The following is a 19,706-nucleotide window of genomic DNA, read 5'->3' as shown; positions in this document are numbered from 1 at the left end:
AAGCCAAATGAAATAATATATACCAAGTGCTTAACATGGTGCCTGAAAAGCCCCCATTTACATTGTATTTTACTTCTCAAATATGCACGATAGTGTTTGTTTGTGCAATTTAAATTAAGATATTTCCATTTTTCAAATCACCTTAGCACCTCCACTTGGGCTTAATAGCTAAGGTTAAGTGAAAATGGCCTTGAAAAAAAGACCCTAGGAGGTAAAAGCAGTAACCAGTAAGGACAACACACACACACAACCCTAACTAAAAAGGAGTAAGTAGAAGTAGGCAGCTCAGAGTCCTAGAAATTATAATTTGTGAGAAACATCAAAAGTATTACTTTCTAGGAAAAGAAGTTGCAGCACATGAAATTCCTCAAATTGAAACTAAGCCAACTCCAGCATACATTAATAAAATGACAGTATCCCATTTGAGGTTAAGTCTTTCAGAGCATATCTGGACCCTATGTTAAGTTATAGACACACCCTTAAAGTGAGACTTTGAGAGAACATGGTCCAAAGCGTTCCAAAAATGTTAGCCAAGCAGAATTTCACAAAGGTGCAGAATAAAGTAGGCAGAACCAGGCCTCTTCAGGCTGGGGAATGGCAGATGTGGAGGAATCATGACAGTATCATTTCAAATATTTGAGGGACTATCTCCTATGGAAGGAGATGTAGAAATGGGAGAGGATCTCTATGGTCTACAGGGCAGAACTAGTTCTAATGACAGTGGAAAGGTAAAGGGAAGGAGAAAGACTTTAATTCAACTTGGAAAAAATTCTAACAAAGTTGTCTAATATAATGAGACAAGTGTTGGGGTTAGGGAGGTGGTGAGGAGAGATTTTAAGGATTCAACAGAGAATCCAGCTAGATTAAGAAGCTGGACTGTGGATTTGGCTGGTCTGTGACCAGTACTTTTGGTCTATGACCAACAATTTTTTCAGCTGCCCATGGTAAGAGAAATAAAACAATGATACACTCTCTAAGACTCATTAACTATAAAACAAGGATAATAATATTAACCTGATAGAACTGAGTGAAGATTAAGTAAGATAATATGTGAAAAGGTCTTCAACATGAAAGACATAAATGAAAAGTTAAAAACACAGTTAAAAAAACAGAGGAAACAAAGAAGAAAACATTAATTACTATCATCAGAGAGAGGAGAAAATATTGCATCCATGATACCAAAAAAGTGTACAATTTTATTTAAATAAACTATCAGAAAATAAAAACAAGATTTTAGAAATTTAAACAGTAATAACCAAAATAAGAAATTTTAACAAAAAGGTTAAAAGATAAGGTTGAGGACATATCCTAAAAAGTAGAGCAAAATGTCAAATTTTATCCATTGCATTCTAGCCAACAGTTAGGGAATATTAGTTTCCCCACATTTTCAACAACACTGGATATTAAGAAAAAAATCTTTTAGGTATGTGAAAAATAGTACCTCACTGTTTTAGTTTACTTTGTTTGCCTACCAGTGAAGTTGGATATTTTCTCATATCTTTTAGCCATTGACACTTCCTCAACTACAAACCACCTGTTGAGCTCTAACAAGAGTCAAGTCAACTGCCTGGGTCTTGTCAGTTTTCTTTTCCCTGTCTGTCATTAGAAACATCTTGGTTCCAAGATGGCTGAATGGGAACAGCTCCAGTCTGCAGCTCCCAGCATGACTGACAAAGAAGACAGGTGATTTTTGCATTTCCAACTGAGGTACCTGGTTCATCTCATTGGGACTGGTTGGACAGTGGGTGCAGCCCATGGAGGACGAGCTGAAGCAGGGCGGGACATCACCTCACCTGGAAAGCGCAAGGGATCAGGGGATTTCCCTTTCCTAGCCAAGGGAAGCCATGACAGATGGTACCTGGAAAAACAGGACACTCCTGCCCTAATACTGTGCTTTTCCAACAGTTTCAGCAAATGGCACACCAGGAGATTATATCCCACACATGGTTCAGCGGATCCCATGCCCACAAAGCCTTGCTCACTTCTAGTGCAGCAGTCTGAGATCAACCTGCGAGGCAGGCGGAGGGGCATCCGCCATTGCCGAGGTTTGAGTAGGTAAACAAAGTGTCCTGGAAGATCGAACTGGGCAGAGCCCACCGCAGCTCAGCAAGGCCTACTGCCTCTGTAGTCTCCACCTCTGGGGGCAGGGCATAGCTGAACAAAAGGCAGCAGACAACTTCTGCAGATGTAAACGTCCCTGTCTAACAGCTCTGAAGAGAGCAGTGGTTCTCCCAGCATGGTGTTTGAGCTCAGAGAACAGACAGACTGCCTACTCAAGTGGGTCTCTGACCCCCATGTAGCCTAACTGGGAGACACCTCCCAGTAGGGGCCAGCTGACTCTTCATACAGGCGGGCACCCCTCTAGGACGAAGCTTCCAGAGGAAGGATCAGGCAGCAATATTTGCTGTTCTGCAATATTTGCTGTTCTGCAGCCTCTGCTGGTGATACCCAGAAAAACAGGGTCTGGAGTGGACCTCCAGCAAACTCCAACAGACCTGCAGTTAAGGGACCTGACTGTTAGAAGGAAAACTAACAAACAGAAAGGAATAGCATCAACATCAACAAAAAGGACATCCACACTAAAACCCCATCTGTAGGTCACCAACATCAAAGACCAAAGGTAGATTAAAACCACAAAGATGGGGAGAAACCAGAGCAGAAAAGCAGAAAATTCTAAAAACCAGAGGGCCTCTTTTCCTCCAAAGGATCACAGCTCCTCGCCAGCAAAGAAACAAAGCTGGATGGAGAATGACTTTGACGAGCTGACAGAAGTAGGCTTCAGAAGGTTGGTAATGACAAATTCCTCCAAGCTAAAGGAGGATGTTCGAACCCATCGCAAGGAAGCTAAAAACCTTGAAAAACGATTAGATAAATGGCTAACTAGAATAAACAGTGTAGAGAACACCTTAAATGACCAAGCTGAAAACCATGGCATGAGAACTATGTGACCCATGCACAAGCTTCATTAGCCAATTCGATCAAATGGAAGAAAGGGTATCAGTGATGGAAGATCAAATGAATGAAATGAAGTGAGAAGAGAAATTTAGAGAAAAAAGAGTAAAAAGAAATGAACAAAGCCTCCAAGAAATATGGGACTATGTGAAAAGACCAAATCTACATTTGATTGGTGTACCTAAAAGTGATGGGGAGAATAGGACCAAGTTGGAAAACACTCTTCAGGATGTTATCCACGAGAACTTCCTCAACCTAGCAAGGCAGGCCAATATTCAAATTCCGGAAACACAGAGAACACCATAAAGATACTCCTTGAGAAGAGCAACCCCAAGACACATAATTGTCAGATTCACCAAGGTGAAGGAAAAAATGTTAAGGGCAACCAGAGAGAAAGGTCGGGTTACCCACAAAGGGAAGCCCATCAGACTCACAGTGGATCTCTCGGCAGAAACTCTACAAGCCAGAAGAGAGTGGGGGCCAATATTCAACATTCTTAAAGAAAAGAATTTTCAACCCATAATTTCATATCCAGCCAAACTAAGCTTCATAAGTGAAGGAGAAATAAAATCCTTTACAGACAAGCAAATGCTGAGAGATTTTGTCACCACCAGGCCTGCCTTACAAGAGCTCCTGAAGGAAGCACTAAACATGGAAAGGAACAACCGGTAGCAACCACTGCAAAAACATGCCAAATCGTAAAGACTGTCGATGCTAGGAAGAAACTGCATAAACTAATGGGTAAAATAACCAGCTAACATCATAATGACAGGATCAAATTCACACATAACAATATGAACCTTAAATGTAAATGGGCTAAATGCTCCAATTAAAAGACACAGACTGGCAAATTGGATATAGTCAAGACCCATCAGTCTGCTGTATTCAGGAGACCCATCTCATGTGCAAGGAACGCACATAGGCTCAAAATAAATGGATGGAGGAAGATCTAACAAGCAAATGGAAAGCAAAAAAAAGTAGGGGTTGCAATCCTAGTCTCTGATAAAACAGACTTTAAACCAACAAAGATCAAAAGAGACAAAGAAGGCCATTACATAATGGTAAAGGGATCAATTCAACAAGAAGAGCTAACTATCCTAAATATATATGCACCCAATACAGGAGCACCCAGATTCATAAAGCGAGTCCTTAGAGACCTACAAAGAGACTTAGACTCCCACACAATAATAATGGGAGATTTTAACACCCCACTGTCAATATTAGACAGATCAATGAGACAGAAGGTTAACAAGGATATCCAGTACTTGAACTCAGCTCTGCACCAAGCAAACCTAATAGACATCTACAGAACTCTCCACCCAAATCAACAGAATATACCAAAGACAAAAACCACATGATTATCTCAATAGAGGCAGAAAAGGTCTTTGACAAAATTCAACAGCCCTTCATGCTAAAAATTCTCAATAAACTAGGTATTGATGGAACATATCTCAAAATAATAAGAGCTATTTATGACAAACCCACAGCCAATATCATACTGAATGGGCAAAAACTGGAAGCATTCCCTTTGAAAACTGGCACAAGACAGAGATGCCCTCTCTCTCACCACTCCTATTCAACATAGTGTTGGAAGTTCTGGCCAGGGCAATCAGGCAAGAGAAAGAAATAAAGGGTATTCAATTAGGAAAAGAGGAAGTCAAATTGTCCCTGTTTGCAGATGACCTGATTGTATATTTAGAAAACCCCATTGTCTCAGCCCAAAATCTCCTTAAGCTGATAAGCAACTTCAGCAAAGTCTCAGGATACAAAATTAATATGCGAAAATCACAAGCATTCTTATACACCAATAACAAACAGAAAGCCAAATGATGAGTGAACTCCCATTCAGAATTGCTTCAAAGAGAATAAAATACCTAGGAATCCAACTCACAAGGGATGTAAAGGACCCCTTAAAGGAGAACTACAAACCACTGCTCAACGAAATAAAAAAGGACACAAACAAATGGAAGAACATTCCATGCTCATGGATAGGAAGAATCAATATCATGAAAATGGCCATACTGCCCAAGGTAATTTGTAGATTCAATGCCATCTCCATCAAGCTACCAATGACTTTCTTCACAGAATTGGAAAAAACTACTTTAAAGTTCCTATGGAACCAAAAAAGAGCCCACATTGCCAAGACAATCCTAAGCAAAAAGAACAAAGCTGGAAGCATCACACTACCTGACTTCAAACTATACTACAAGGCTACAGTAACCAAAACAGCATGGTACTGGTACCAAAACAGAGAGATAGACCAGTGGAACACAACAGAGGCCTCAGAAATAACACCACACATCTACAACCATCTGATCTTTGACAAACCTGATAAAAACAAGAAATGGGGAAATGATTCCCTATTTAATAAATGGTCCTGGGAAAACTGGCTAGGCATATGTAGAAAGCTGAAACTGGATCCCTTCCTTACACCTTATACAAAAATTAATTCAAGAAGGATTAAAGACTTAAATGTTAGACCTAAAACCAGGAAAACCCTAGAAGAAAACCTAGGCAATGCCATTCAGGACATAGGTATGGGCAAAGACTTCATGACTAAAACACCAAAAGCAATGGCAACAAAAGCCAAAATAGACAAATGGGATCTAATTAAACTAAAGAGCTTCTGCACAGCTAAAGAAACTACCATCAGAGTGAACAGACAACCTACAGAATGGGAGAAAATTTTTGCAATCTACCTATTTGACAAAGGGCTAATATCCAGAATCTACAAAGAACTTAAACAAATTTACAAGAAAAAAACAACTCCATCGAAAAGTGGGCAAAGGATATGAACAGACACTTCTCAAAAGAAGACATCTATGCAGCCAACAGACACATTAAAAAATGCTCATCATCACTGGTCATCAGAGAAATGCAAATCAAAACCACAATGAGATACCATCTCACACCAGTTAGAATGGCAATCATTAAAAAGTCAGGAAACAACAGACGCTGGAGAGGATGTGGAGAAATAGGAACGCTTTTACACTGTTGGTGGGAGTGTAAACTAGTTCAACCATTGTGGAAGACAGTGTGGCAACTCCTCAAGGACCTAGAACTAGAAATACCATTTGACCCAGCAATCCCATTACTGGGTATCTACCCAAAGGATTATAAATCATGCTACTGTAAAGACACATGCACATGTATGTTTATTGCAGCACTATTCACAATAGCAAAGACTTGGAACCAACCCAAATGTTCATCAGTGATAGACCGGATTAAGAAAATGTGGCACATATACACCACGGAATACTATGCAGCCATAAAAAAGGATGGCTTCAAAGCTTCAAAGGACAGGATGACTCTCTTGTTAAAGGATAATGAAGCTAGTGACTTTAAGTTTAAGCCATTATTAATTGACCATTCTGAAAATCCTAGGGCCTTTAAGAATTATGTTAAATCTGCTCTGCCTGTGCTCTATAAATGGAACAAAAAAGGCTGGATGACCATAAATCTGTTTACAGTAAGGTTTACTGAATATTTTAAGCCCACTGTTGATGTCTGCTTCTCAGAAAAAAAAAATTCCTTCCAAAATATTACTGTCCATTGACAATGCACCTAGTCATCCAAGAGCTCTGATGAAGATATACAAGAAGATAAATGTTTTCATGCCTGCTAATACAACATCCATTCTGCAGTCTATGGATCAAGGAGTGCTACGGTTTGGATATTTGTCTCCTCCAAGCCTCATACTGAAATTTTATCCCCAGTGTTAGAGGTGGGGCCAAATGGGAGGTGTTTGGTCATGGGGGCAGATCCCTCATGCATAGATCAATGACCTTCTTTGGGGGTGAGTGAACTCTTACTCTATTCGTTCCCATGAGAGCGGTTGTTAAAAAGAGGCTAGCACCGGCCTCTCTATACTTTGCTTCCTCTCCCACCATGTGATCTCTGCACACTCTGGCTCCCCTTCACCTTCCTCCAAGAGTGGAAGCAGCCTGAAACCCTCGCCAGATGCCCAATCTTGAGCTTTCAAGCCATCAGAATTGTGAGCCAAATAAACTTTCTTTCTTTATAAATTTCCCTGTCTCTGGTATTCCTTTATAGCAACACAAAACAAAGTAATTTTGACTTTCAAGTCTCATTTAAGAAATACATTTAATAAGGCTATAGCTATCATACATAATGATTTTTCTGTTGGACCTGGGCAAAGTAAATTGAAAGCCTTCTGGACAAAAATTACCATTCTAGGTGCCATTAAGAACATTCATGATTCATGGGAGGAGGTCAAAATACCAATATTAACAGGAGTTTGGAAGAAGTTGACTCCAACCCTCATGAATGACTTGGAGGGGCTCAAGACTTCAGTGGAGAAAGTGACTACAGAAGTGATGGAAACAGCAGGAGAACTAGAATTAGTAGTGGAGCCTGAAGATGTGAATGAATGGCTGCAATCTCATGATGAAACTTGAACAGCTGTGGAGTTGCTTCTTATGGATGAACAGAGAAAGTGGTTTCTTGAGATGGAATCTACTCTTGGGGAAGATACTGTGAACATTGTTGAAATGACAGCAAAGGATTTAGAATATTATGTAAACTTGCTCAATGAAACAGCAGGAGTGCTGGAGGAGGATTGACTCCAATTTTGAAAGAAGTTCTACTGTTAGTAAAATGTTATCAAACAGCACCACATGCTACAGAGAAATCTGTCACGAAAGGAAGAGTCATTCAATGTGGTAAACATCATTGTTGTCTTCTTTTAATAAATTGCCACAGCCACTCCAACCTTCAGCAACCAACTCCTGATAAGTCAGCAACATAAACATCAAGGCAAGACTCTCCACCAACAAAAAGAGTACCACTCACTGAAGGTTCAGATGACTGTTAGCATTTTTTTAGCAATAAAGTATTTTTAATTAAGGTGCATTTTTTTAAACATAATGCTATTGTACACTTAATAGATACAGTATAGTGTAAACATAACTTTTATATGCACTGGGAAACCAAAAATTCATACTACTCTTTTAATCACGTTACTTCCTTTGTAGCGGTCTGGAACAAAACTTGCAATAACTTTAAAGTATGTCTGTACTACAGTGAGTAAGATTTTAGAGAGAAAATATATGATCAGTAAAGCTAAAAAGAAGTCAGGAAAACTCCAGGAAGCCTTCGGATACATGAAGGAATATCTAATGGGTGGCAGTTCTTGACTAATGGGAAAACATTTGTACCCCTAAAGAGAAAATGTATCTGAGAAGTGTACATCTTCTCTCATGAAAAAGGACATCTCTAATTGTTCAGAGTTCATGCCCAGAGATACACTGGGGGACTAGTTTGGGATAAGTGGGAGCCAAGAGTTTTCAGGAAAAGGTTAAATGTCATCAAGGTCCAAGGAGTCATACGGGACATCACTAAAAGGAGGCTGAAATGCTATAGAAAGCATGGTAGGAAGAAAAGGAGAGGGGCTCTTTCAAAAAGGCAAGGGAACTGGGCACACTCAGCCACCAACCAGTTGTGCAACATGAGCACATTCCTTCCCACCTCAGGACTTCAATGTTTCTATCACTCATACACTGCTGAAATTTGGAAAGAAATTTGGAAATTCTACTTTTAGGAATTGATCCTAAAGAAACTGTCAAAGATGTGAAATGAGATTAATCCACAGAAGTTATAATATAATTATATATTTGGAAAATAACTTGCAAATGTTTTTGAAAAATAATTTGGAAAGTAACTGGAAGTTTCTCAAATGTTTCCCAAAAGGAAATGGTTAAATAGACATATGGTACATGTTCAAATGATGGAATATTATATGCAGCCATTAAAAGATCATATGGTAAAAGCCATTCAATTGTCACGACAAACTGTAAAGTAAAATTGAGGATTACAATTGGTATGCATAACATGGATCCAAATTTGTAGAAAATAAATACTAAAAAACAATAAAAAGTAAGCCAAAGAGAGGGAACAAGAGAAAGACTAAAAAGTCATATGACAGAGTTATGAGTAGTAAACTTACACAAATTTTTATTTTCTTATTTATTCTTTATATATTTTAAATTTTGTTATAAACTTGTATTATTTTTGTAATTAAAACAGCAAATGCAATTGATTTCATTTTAATTAAGAGATTTGAGGATATTTAAGTCTCTTCTAGCACTAAAATCCACTGAGTCTTTTTAAAATGCCAAATGCATAGATACCTACACCACATTTGAAATGTGATCTTCTACTCCTCCCCAGCCCTAATCCTCCATTAGTTTTGCAAACAGATCTGCTCTCTGAAGCCATAAGGCAGTTCTGGGAAGAGTAACAGTAGGTAGGGGCCTGGAGTTTGGGCTGTCTTCACAATGTGAATCTTAGAGCAAGCTTTTTGAGAAAAACACAATTGAAAAAGACCATACTTCCTGGCCCTGAAAGGCCTCTGGCTTTTCTTTCACAGAAAATGTCTGCAGTCTGGATGGACATCAGCACCAGGAAGTTACACACCTCTCTGTAAATATTTCCATCCCTAAAAGACTTCCTCTACCTGTGAAATCTTTACTAACAACTTTCAACATTCACTGTGCCAAATGCCAGGGTCAATTCTCAGTTTCATCTTATTTTACCCATGAGCAGCATTAGACCCAGTTAGACCCAGTTGAAACACTTTTCTCCGATGGCTCCCAGGACACCATACTCACCTACCTAGTTTATCCTCCTTCCCCCACTCCAACACACACACACACACACACACACACACTCACTCACTCACTCTCTCTCTCTCTCTCAATCTTCTTGGACGGTTTCTCTTCCTATCCCCAACCTTTAAAGTTGGAGCATCCGGCTCAGTCCTTAGAGCATTGTCGTTTTTTTTTTTTTCTAGTTACACTCACTTACCCAGTCTCATTGGATTTAAATCCTGTCTCACTCAGTTTAAACACCATCTGATGACCTAAATTTGTATCTCAAGTCCAGTCTTCTTCCCCAAACTCCAAATTTGTATATCCATCTGCTCTATTTGAAAGACCCATGTCAAATAGGCATCGGAACATTAACACACCCAAAACCGAGATCCTGATCTTCCCACTCAAAACTATTCCTCCTACAGTCTTCTCATCTCAAGGCAACTCCATCCTTCTAGTTTCTTGGAAGGCCCAAAACCTTGGAGTCAAGTTTCCTCCTCTCTTGTTTCCCATCTAAATCCAACTAGGAGATTTTATTGGCTCTATTAGATCCCAAATCCAATCACTTTTCACCGTGTCCACTGCTACTACCTGGAAATGGACACCATCATCTTTTACCTGTATTACTGCAGTAGTCTCCCGACTAGTCTCTCTGCTTATATCCCTTTATGTCTGTTCTCTACAATGCAGCCAGAGTGATCCTATTAAAACGTGAATTGGATAAAGTCACTCCTGTGCTCAACACTCACAGTGGTTTCCCATTGCTCTATAAGTAAAAGCCAAAGGCTATACAGTGGCCTGCAGGATGCTAGACATTCTATTTAGGCCAAACCTACCTCTCAGCTCTCACCTCCTTGCTTTCTCCACTCCAACCACACTGGATTCTTTGTTGTTTCTTAAACACTTAATTTCTCCTCAGGACTTTGTACATGTTGGTTCCTCTGCGTGGAATGTTCTTCACAGAAACAGCCACACTAGCAGCCATATGCTACCACAAGTCTAAAGAGATCTTAGAAATGATATCCAAAAAAAGGCTGAGGAAAACTGCTAAGCAGTGGAACAGGAGCTCACTCCCTAATTCAACAGAGGTTTGCTCTCAGTGGGGAAGGAGCAAAGGCTCCTTCCTGAATGCCTTTATGCCTCTGGACAACCATATTGACAGAACTCTGACAGCCCTAGTCACTCTATCTTCTGGAACATGACTACTGTACATGGCGAGACTTTTGCCTTCTTTCCTGGGTCTGAGTGAACTTTTCTGCCTGGAGGATTTAGATGTCTTCTCATACTTAGATGGGGATCTAGCATTTGGTGATTGCATTTTTCCAAGACCTGAACAGAACCTAAGGGAGCCATGGGCAGACTATGCATTCCATCCATATCAACGTTAGACTGGGATAAATCTCCCCTAATACATCCTTAAATACTTTTTAGGATAAGGTGAAAAACACATTCATCCATACATACATACAAAAGGAATCTCTTTTCTTTCAAGGATAAGGCCTTAGATTAAATAAATTTTGCAAGAAAATAGAAAGAACAATGAAGGAAAAGCTTGCCTCTAAAATAGATATGAAGCAGGAATAGATGGAAATCGTTTGTTTTTTTGAACTCTGTACAAGAGGATGTTGCCATAAACAAGCTAAAATAAAAGATTTCATGGAAGCCAAAAACACTGTAACTGAATGAAAGTTTATATGGGAGATAGTTAAGGAAAATTGAATCAGTGATATAGAGGAAATTCTTAGGAAAATAGTCTCAGAATGCAATGAAAAATAAATGAAGAAAATGAAAGGAATAAAGAAGGAAGGAGAAAGAAAGAGAGAGAGAAAGAAAGAAAAAAGAAAAGAAAGAAAGAAGAAAGAGAGGGAAAGAGAAAGAAAGAGGGAAGGAGGCAGGCAGGCAGGCCACAGGCAGGCAATTTAGAGATAAGAGATCCAAATAGGTCCCTGAAGAAGAAAAAAACAAACAAACAAAACAGCAGCATTAATCAAAGTTGTGACAGAAGAAATCTTTCTTGCTCCTAAATAAGTCCTAAATTTGGAAATCAAGAGGGTTTACCATATCCCAGGCAAAAATTTTTGAAAGGAAGTCTATACCCAGTTATCTTATTGTGAAAGTTGTAAATTTCAGAAATGGGGAACAAAAACCATTCAGGCTAAAAAACAGTTGTCCTCAACTTCTGAGTCTGTTTTGTGCTGCTACAACAGACTGAGTCATTTATAAACAACAGAAGTTTATTTGGCTCACAGTTCTGGAGGCTGGGAAGTTCCAGATCAAGGGGCCAGCATCTGGCAAGGGCCTTCTTGCTGTGTCATCCCATGGCAGAAAGCAAAGGGCAAGAGAGCATAAGAGCAAGAGAACAAACTCACAGCTTCAAGTCCTTTTATTATTGGCATTGATCCATTCATCAGGGTGGAGCCCTCATGACCCAAGCACCTCCAGTAGGTCTTGCCTCCCAACATTGTTATACTGGGGATTAAGTTTTGAACATATGCTTTTGGGGGGACATATTCAAACTATAGCAACTTCTTTACAGCATCAAACTTCTCAAGACAATGGAGGAATATTTCCAATGACTTGAGGGGGAAAGATTGCTATATTTAAGAGAAGTTGTCTCTCTTTTATAACACTGATCCCCTTTCTAAAAATTAATATGCTTACTAGATCATTATGAAAGGAATCAAGATTAGGGTCCCAAGAATGGGGAAAGGCATAGTGAGATAAGAACTATATTAAAATTCATTAAATTCATGGATGGATGAATTTGATTATTAATATCCAAATAAAGAGAAAAAATCCTGTGAAATAAGTGACTAACATAATTTTTACTATTTGAATTTATAATATTATCAAATTAAATATTTAAAATAAGAAAAAGGAGGACACAGGGACACAAAAACTCTTAATCCTTCTCTCATAATGGGGTCAAAAATTACTAATTTCACTTTGATATTAAGATAAATTTAAGCTCAGGAATGTTTTGCTTTCCTTTTTTCTTTCTTTTTTTTTTTTTTTTTTTGAGATGGAGTCTCGCTCTGTCTCCCAGGCTGGAGTGCAGTGGTATGATCTCGGCTCACTGAAGCTCTGCCTCCCAGGTTCACACCATTCTCCTGCCTCAGCCTCCCGAGTAGCTGGGACTATAGGCGCCCACCACCACGCCCGGCTAATTTTTTTTGTATTTTTAGTAGAGATGGGGTTTCACCATGTTAGCCAGGATGGAATGCTTTTCTTTTATTTCCACAGCCTGGGCAACATAACAAGACCCTGTTTCTACAAAAAATAAAAAATCAGCTGGGTATGGTGGTGCACGCCTGTAGCCCTAGCTACTCAGAAGGCTGAGGCAGGAGGATCACCTGAGCCCAGGAGTTCAAGGTTACATTGAGCTATGATTATGCTACTGCACTCCAGCCTAGGTGACAGAGCAAGACCCTGCCTCAAAAAAAAAAAAAAGATTGCTACAAGTACAATTAAAAGTAAGATGTCCGTTATTCACAGCTTTGTGGAAATATAAAAACAAATAACAAAGTCCAGAGTCTGTATAGCAAAAAGCATAACAGAAAAAAACATTAAACACTAAAGAGAATAAAATGAGAAAAGGCAGATAAAATAAATGTGAACTGTTTACATTCCTTTATTAAAACAGAGAATCAAATTGGATTTAGAAAGATTAAAAATAAAGATGGACAAAATATATCAGCCAAATGAGAAGGGGGAACAGAATTTAGGACTAAAAAAGTAGATAAAAAGAGTTATTTCAATATTTTATCAAAATATGAACTGCAAAAACATACAAAATATGAGTAGAGGTAAATAGACAACAGACAATTGTATTGAATTAAATGAATCTTAATTGCATTAAGAGCATGAAGTCATTATTATTTGAAGCACTGTTAGAGAATCTAAGAACTTATGAGGAATATAGTATTGAGCGTAATTGAGGTTAAAAGTAAATCTATGATAACAATTGTTTGACCAATTAACAAAATTTGATTATGGACTACAATTGAAAGTATTCTATCAGTGTTAGATTTCCTGAGTTTGACTACTGTACTGTGGTTATATAAGAGAAAATCTTTGTTCTTAGGAAATACATACTGAAATATTTAGGGGTAAAGGAACATAATATATACAACTTATTCTCAAATGGTTCAGGAACAATACTATATGTGACTGTTGTGTGTGGGAGAGATATAAAAGGGAAGAGAGAATGATAAATGTGGCAGAATTTTTTAAATTGGTGAATACTTGTGAAATGCTCTTTGAATTGTTCTTGTAACTTTTCTGTAATTTTGAAGTCATTTTAAAATAAAAAAATTAATACAACAACAAAAAAAGTAAATCTATGATAACAAACCAAAAATGAAATTTTAAAACAATTATATTTATAATAGCATCAAAAAGAAAATCATACTTAGGAACAAATTTAACAAAAGAAATACAAAAGTTACACTCTGAAAACTACAAAATATTACTTAAGGAAATTAAGTAAGACCTACATACACAGAAAGACATCATATGTTCATGGATTAGAAGATTTAATATTTTTAAGATGGCAATATTCTCTAAATAGATTTACAGTTGATGCAATCTTATCAAAATCTCAGCTGGCTTCCTTGCAGAAGTTGACAACCTGATCTTAAAATTCATATGGAAGTTAATGGGACCCATAATACCCCAAACAATATTTAAAAAATAAAATGAAATTGGAGGACTCACACTGCCTGATTTCAAAACTTACTACCAAGCTGTAGTATCAAGAAATGTGGAATTGACATAGGGCTAGATATATAAAGAAATGGAATATAACTGAGAGTCTAGAAAAAAACGCTCACACTTATGGGAAATTGATTTTCAACAGGGTGCCAAAACAATTCACTGGAGAAAATAATAATCTTTTCAACAAATGGTGCTGGAACAACTAGATATTCACACACAAAAACATGAAGTTTGGCCCCTACCTCATAACATATACAAAAACTAACTCAAAGTGGATTAAAAACCTAAATGCAAGGGCTAAAACTATGTAGCTCTTTGAAGAAAATATAGATGTATATCTTCATGACTTTGGATTAGGCAATAGTTTCTTAGATAGGACAACAAAACCATAAGAACCAAAGAAACTATAGATTGAATATCATCAAAATTTAAAACTTTTAAATTTTGTGCTGCAAACAACACTATCAAGAAAGTGAAAAGACAACCCACAGAATGGGAGAAAATTTTTGGAAATCATATATCTGAAAAGGGAATATATAAGGAATCATTGCAACTCAATCATAAAAAGGTAAACCCATTTAAAAAATGGGCAAAGAGGCCAGGCGTGGTGGCTCACGCCTGTAATCCCAGCACTTTGGGAGGCCGAGGCAGGTGGATCACCTGAGGTCAGGAGTTCGAGACCAGCCTGGCCAACATGGTGAAAGCCCGTCTCTACTAAAAATACAAAATTAGCCGGGTGTGGTGGCACATGCCTGTAATCCCAGCTACTCCGGAGGCTGAGGCAGGAGAACTGCTTGAACTCAGGAGGTGGAGGTTGCAGTGAGCCAAAATCACGCCATCACACTCCAGCCTGGGCAACAAGAGCAAAACTCCACCTCAAAAAAAAAAAAAAAAAAAAATGGGCAAAGGATCTGAACAGGCATTTTTCCAAAAAAGATCCACAAATGCCCACTAAACACATGAATAGATTTTCAAAACCATCAGCCATCAGGGAAATACAAATCAAAACCTCAATGAGATACTACTTCACACTCATTAGGAAGGCTATAATAAAAGATAGGGAATAAAAAGTGTTGGCAAGGATGTGGAGAAATTGGAATCACCATATATTGCTGGTGGAAATGTAAATGGTCCAGCTACTTTGGAAAACAGTCTGGCAGTTCATCAAATGGTTAAACATAGACATACAAGTGACCCAGCAATTTTGCTCCTAGGTATATAACCAAAAGAAATTAAAAACAAGTCCACACCAACACTTGTCCATGAATGCTCACAGCAGCATTATTCATAATGTCAAAAAGTAAAAACAATCCAAATATTCATCAACTGATGAATAAAATGTGGTATATACATTCAATGGGATATATGCTATGAAATGAATGTCCAGAATTGGCAAAACTGTGGGGACAGAAAGTAGATTGGTGTTTTCCTAGGACTCAGAACGGTGGGGGCCATGTAGGGAGGAAATGGGGAGTGCCCATTAATAGGTATGAGGTTTCTTTTCAGGGTGATAAAATGTTCCAAAATTGATTGTGGTGGTGGTACACAATCCTGTGAATATACTAAAACCACTGAATTGTCGACTTTAAGTTGGTGAATCGTATGATATGTGAATTGTGTCTCCAGATAATAAGATCAACAACTATGGATTTGAATCTCAACTTCAACACTTACCAACTGAGAGACTTTAACAATTGAGTTATTTAACAGTAAATAATACCAACCTCCTTGGATGGTTGGAGAACTGAATTAACATCTGTAAGGTGATTAGAATAGTGTGCGAACCAATGTCCACTATAAGCCTGTGTGTTAACTAACTAAAGCCACCAGCACTTCCTTTCATTAAACACTTACCGTATTCGTTTTCTTTGCCTGCTATAACAAATTACCATAAAAAAACTCAGTGGTTTAAAACAAGACACATTTATTCTCTTACAGTTCTGGAAGTCTGAAGGCTGAAATCAGTTTCACTGGACTGAAATCAAGGTGTTGGTAGGACTAAGCTCCTCTCTACCCATCAGAGAATATTATGGTTGGAGATAAATTACCATATAATTGAAAAGACTGGATTGATTAATAAATATCCAATTTTATATCCTAAAAACATACAGCTTCTTCACAAGTGTTCATAGATTTACACAAACCCATCATATGCTTAGTTACAAGGAAACCTCAGAAATTATAAAGCCATATTCTCTAACCATCATGGAAAAAATGAAAAATTAATTATAATGGCAAACAAAAATAAAAATCATTTACAATCTTTTAGAAGTAATATTCTGGGCTACAGAGAATAAAAATGTGATGTCAAACTATTTAGAAAACGATGACACCACATATAAAAATGTGTTGGATCTATTCACAGTAAGAACAGATTCAGAAAAACTATCAGAGGCCGGGTGTGGTGGCTCACACCTGTAATCCCAGCATTTTGGGAGGCCTAGGCAGGCAGATCACTTGAGTCCAGGAGTTTGAGACCAGCCTGGGCAACATGGTGAAACCCCGTCATAACAAAAATAAATAAATAAATAAATAAATACAGAAAAACTATTATAAGTATGGCAGGAAAACTTGAATACTTTTATATGATAAAGCATGCACATAAGTTGATTAAAAACATCAAATCCAAATAAGTATTATAATAAACAGGAAAAGGATGTAAAAAGTATACAAAAGAAGTATATCGTGAAAAATGTCAAATTTACTGTAATTAAGAAATACAAACTAAAACAATCTAAAAATTGATAAAATTATTTAAAAACAAAAACACCAAAGCTGTCAGGGATGCCACAAAACAGGAACTGCTTTTGAGAGCATGAAGGGCCCAACCTTTGGGAATGCAACCTGGCAACAGTAATCAAGAACTTTAAAAAACATTAACAAGTTTCAATCTAGTAAGTCTATTTCTGGGATCCTGTCCTCAGAGTGCAATCCTACATATGGAAAAAACTTCCTGCACAAAGACATTTATTGGAAATGGAAACATCCTCAATATTCAATAACAGGAGAACTGTTAAATAAACTATGTGACTATAAAAATTACGCTAACAAAGACCACGCTATAAAATGGAAAATACATGTGCTTCACTGCTACAGTAAAACCAGGCTTTAAAACTGCATATATAGCCTAATGATCATGGTGCCATCTCATAACTTTTCAAGGTCCTATTCAAGTGAATGCCAAATGAGAGAAACAACCCAGGCATAGTAAAAAAAAAAAAAAAAAACTGCCAGGAAATGGCACCAAAATATTACAAGTGATTGTTTTTCTTCCCTACTGTAATCTATAGTATCATGTTTTCTTTAATGGGCATGTGCTATGTTACTTGTATCCTCACGGACATAAAGCAATGCTTTACATCCTTCCTATGAATCAAAAGGAAACACTTCTTTTTTTTTTTTTTTTTTGCTTCTTTTTAAATTTTTTTAAACCAAGCAGTGGTTATGGAAGGAAACACCTCTTTGTGTAACAGGGCATGTACTGCCACTGTCGGTCTCTAAAGTCACTTTGATGATCTAACAAAAACAGCATGTTTCATACATGTTAGACAACCTCTACTCTGGATTTTTTTCTCCAACAACTTATTTTCTCTTCACAACCCCCTCAAGTTTTCAAGCCTAAAGAAATTCCATCGGTTCTCTCTGCACCCACTTTCCTTGCTTTGCTCCTAGAATTATTCCCACCTTTCTTCTGCAGAGCGTAGACAATGCCTCAGGCACACTGTTGCCAGTCTCAGAGCCCTGAGTCCCTGCTACCTCTAGCTCCCTGGGACTCCAACACCCAGCACAAGATTCTGCAGGCAGCCACACATTCTGCTCCAGTACTTCTCAAGTTGAAGGCAGAGAATAAGGGAAGTTTAGGGAAGCTTGGAGCCATGGAGAAAAGGTGGAGACATGCAGGAAATCTAACACAAGGCCTTTTTGTGTAACAGTAGTTTTTGTGTGCTGAAGATTCCAGTTTCTAGGATTTGGCAAATTGGGAGCCTCAATTTCCTGTTCTAGGGCATATATTTGCTGAATGAATAAATGAATTAGGCTTCCCATCATCCTGCAATGACACCTGACCAGTGACTAGAAGTGGCAGCTTGGTGAGGGAGTAGAGGGTGGGAAGAGCTTGGTCATTTAGTACCAAAATAAGCCCTGAGACTAAGGCATGCGATGACCCTGCCACATTGCCAGTCAAAGTGTGGTCTGTGGAGGGGCAGCATTATCATCGCCTGGGAACTTGTTAGAAATGTAGACCTACTTCAGAGCTATTGGATCAGAATCTGCATTTTTAACAAGTTCTCTAATGATACATACTCATGCTAAAGTTTGAGAAGCACTGCTTCAGAACATATGCACACACACACCAAAATCACCAAGACAAACAAGTGACTCCACTCTTGCACACTTCACCAAACCATCAAGACATTTAGTGATTCTTCACCACAGGGGCTGCCCTTGATTTTGGCCTTCCTCCGAAGTACTTAAAAGAATAGACTCTATGGCTGGGCGCGGTGGCTCACGCCTGTAATCCCAGCACTCTGGGAGGCCGAGACGGGCGGATCATGAGGTCAGGAGATCGAGACCATCCTGGCTAACACAGTGAAACCCCGTCTCTACTAAAAATTACAAAAAATTAGCCGGGTGTAGTGGCAGGCGCCTGTAGTCCCAGCTACTCGGGAGGCTGAGGCAGGAGAATGGCGTGAACCTGGGAGGCGGAGCTTGCAGTGAGCTGAGATCGCGCCACTGCACTCCAGCCTGGGCGACAAAGCGAGACTCCGTCTCAAAAAAAAAAAAAAAAAAAAAAAAAAAAAAAAAGAATAAACTCTATGTAATTTACTCCAGGCCTCACCTTCACTCTACACAGATGGAGCCCATCACCTCTGGACAGTAGTTGGTGCGATTAAACACTAGTGCCCTTCAGCACCATTACCAGTTATAAAGAGCGGAGAAACAACCAAAAAGACAACACAAGAGGGAAAGCACTCTCAAAATGCAATTTGACCAAGTAAAGGCAATACCAATCACAATGATTTATAAAAACTGTTTACCAGATGTATGTTATTACCCCGCAGTGCAATCATGATTAAGGAAATCATTTAATGTGCAGCTGATTGCTTTGTAAAGGCTTATTTGATTACACGACCCATAGTGAAGGATAAACTCTGTACTTCTGCCTTCAAATCTCCAAGATGGACATGTAAGTAGGTTGACTGCTCAGAGCTTGGGAAAAAAGGGGGCTTTTTACTCTTAAATCTACACTATAGTTAAGGTAAAAGAGAGAAAAGATCTTCAAGCACTGCTGGGAGGGTGAAGGGGCTTGCCATGGGCACCAGATTCTACTCATCTTTCTAGATCCAACTGAAGTGTCCTATCCTTTGAGAAGTTTCTCCAGAAGCCATCGCTCCCTATTCTGCTTCTCATGGCACTTTCTCTTGTATT

The 19,706-nt window shown here is 38.4% G+C and overlaps 1 protein-coding gene and 1 long non-coding RNA gene across 33 annotated transcripts in view, besides 1 other annotated feature; one reads left to right on the top strand and one right to left on the bottom strand.

Annotated features, from left to right (window-relative positions):
• Nucleotides 1-19,706, bottom strand: part of ENTPD1 (ectonucleoside triphosphate diphosphohydrolase 1) — a 183,082-nt gene that overhangs the window by 97,370 nt on the left and 66,006 nt on the right. The window lies entirely within an intron of this gene.
• ENTPD1-AS1 (ENTPD1 antisense RNA 1) overlaps nt 1-19,706 on the top strand; it is a 337,030-nt gene that overhangs the window by 310,339 nt on the left and 6,985 nt on the right. The gene's annotated exons all lie outside the window — the stretch shown is intronic.
• Nucleotides 11,871-11,950: an enhancer, noted in NCBI's record as "active region_3805". NCBI's record gives its function as "activates an Ori minimal core promoter by ATAC-STARR-seq in GM12878 lymphoblastoid cells {active_cell/tissue: GM12878}" and the evidence as "EXISTENCE:reporter gene assay evidence [ECO:0000049][PMID:35858748]".

Source organism: Homo sapiens, chromosome 10 (genome assembly GCF_000001405.40).
Source record: "Homo sapiens chromosome 10, GRCh38.p14 Primary Assembly".
Taxonomy (NCBI): domain Eukaryota; kingdom Metazoa; phylum Chordata; class Mammalia; order Primates; family Hominidae; genus Homo; species Homo sapiens.
This window is presented reverse-complemented; position numbering and strand designations above follow the sequence as displayed.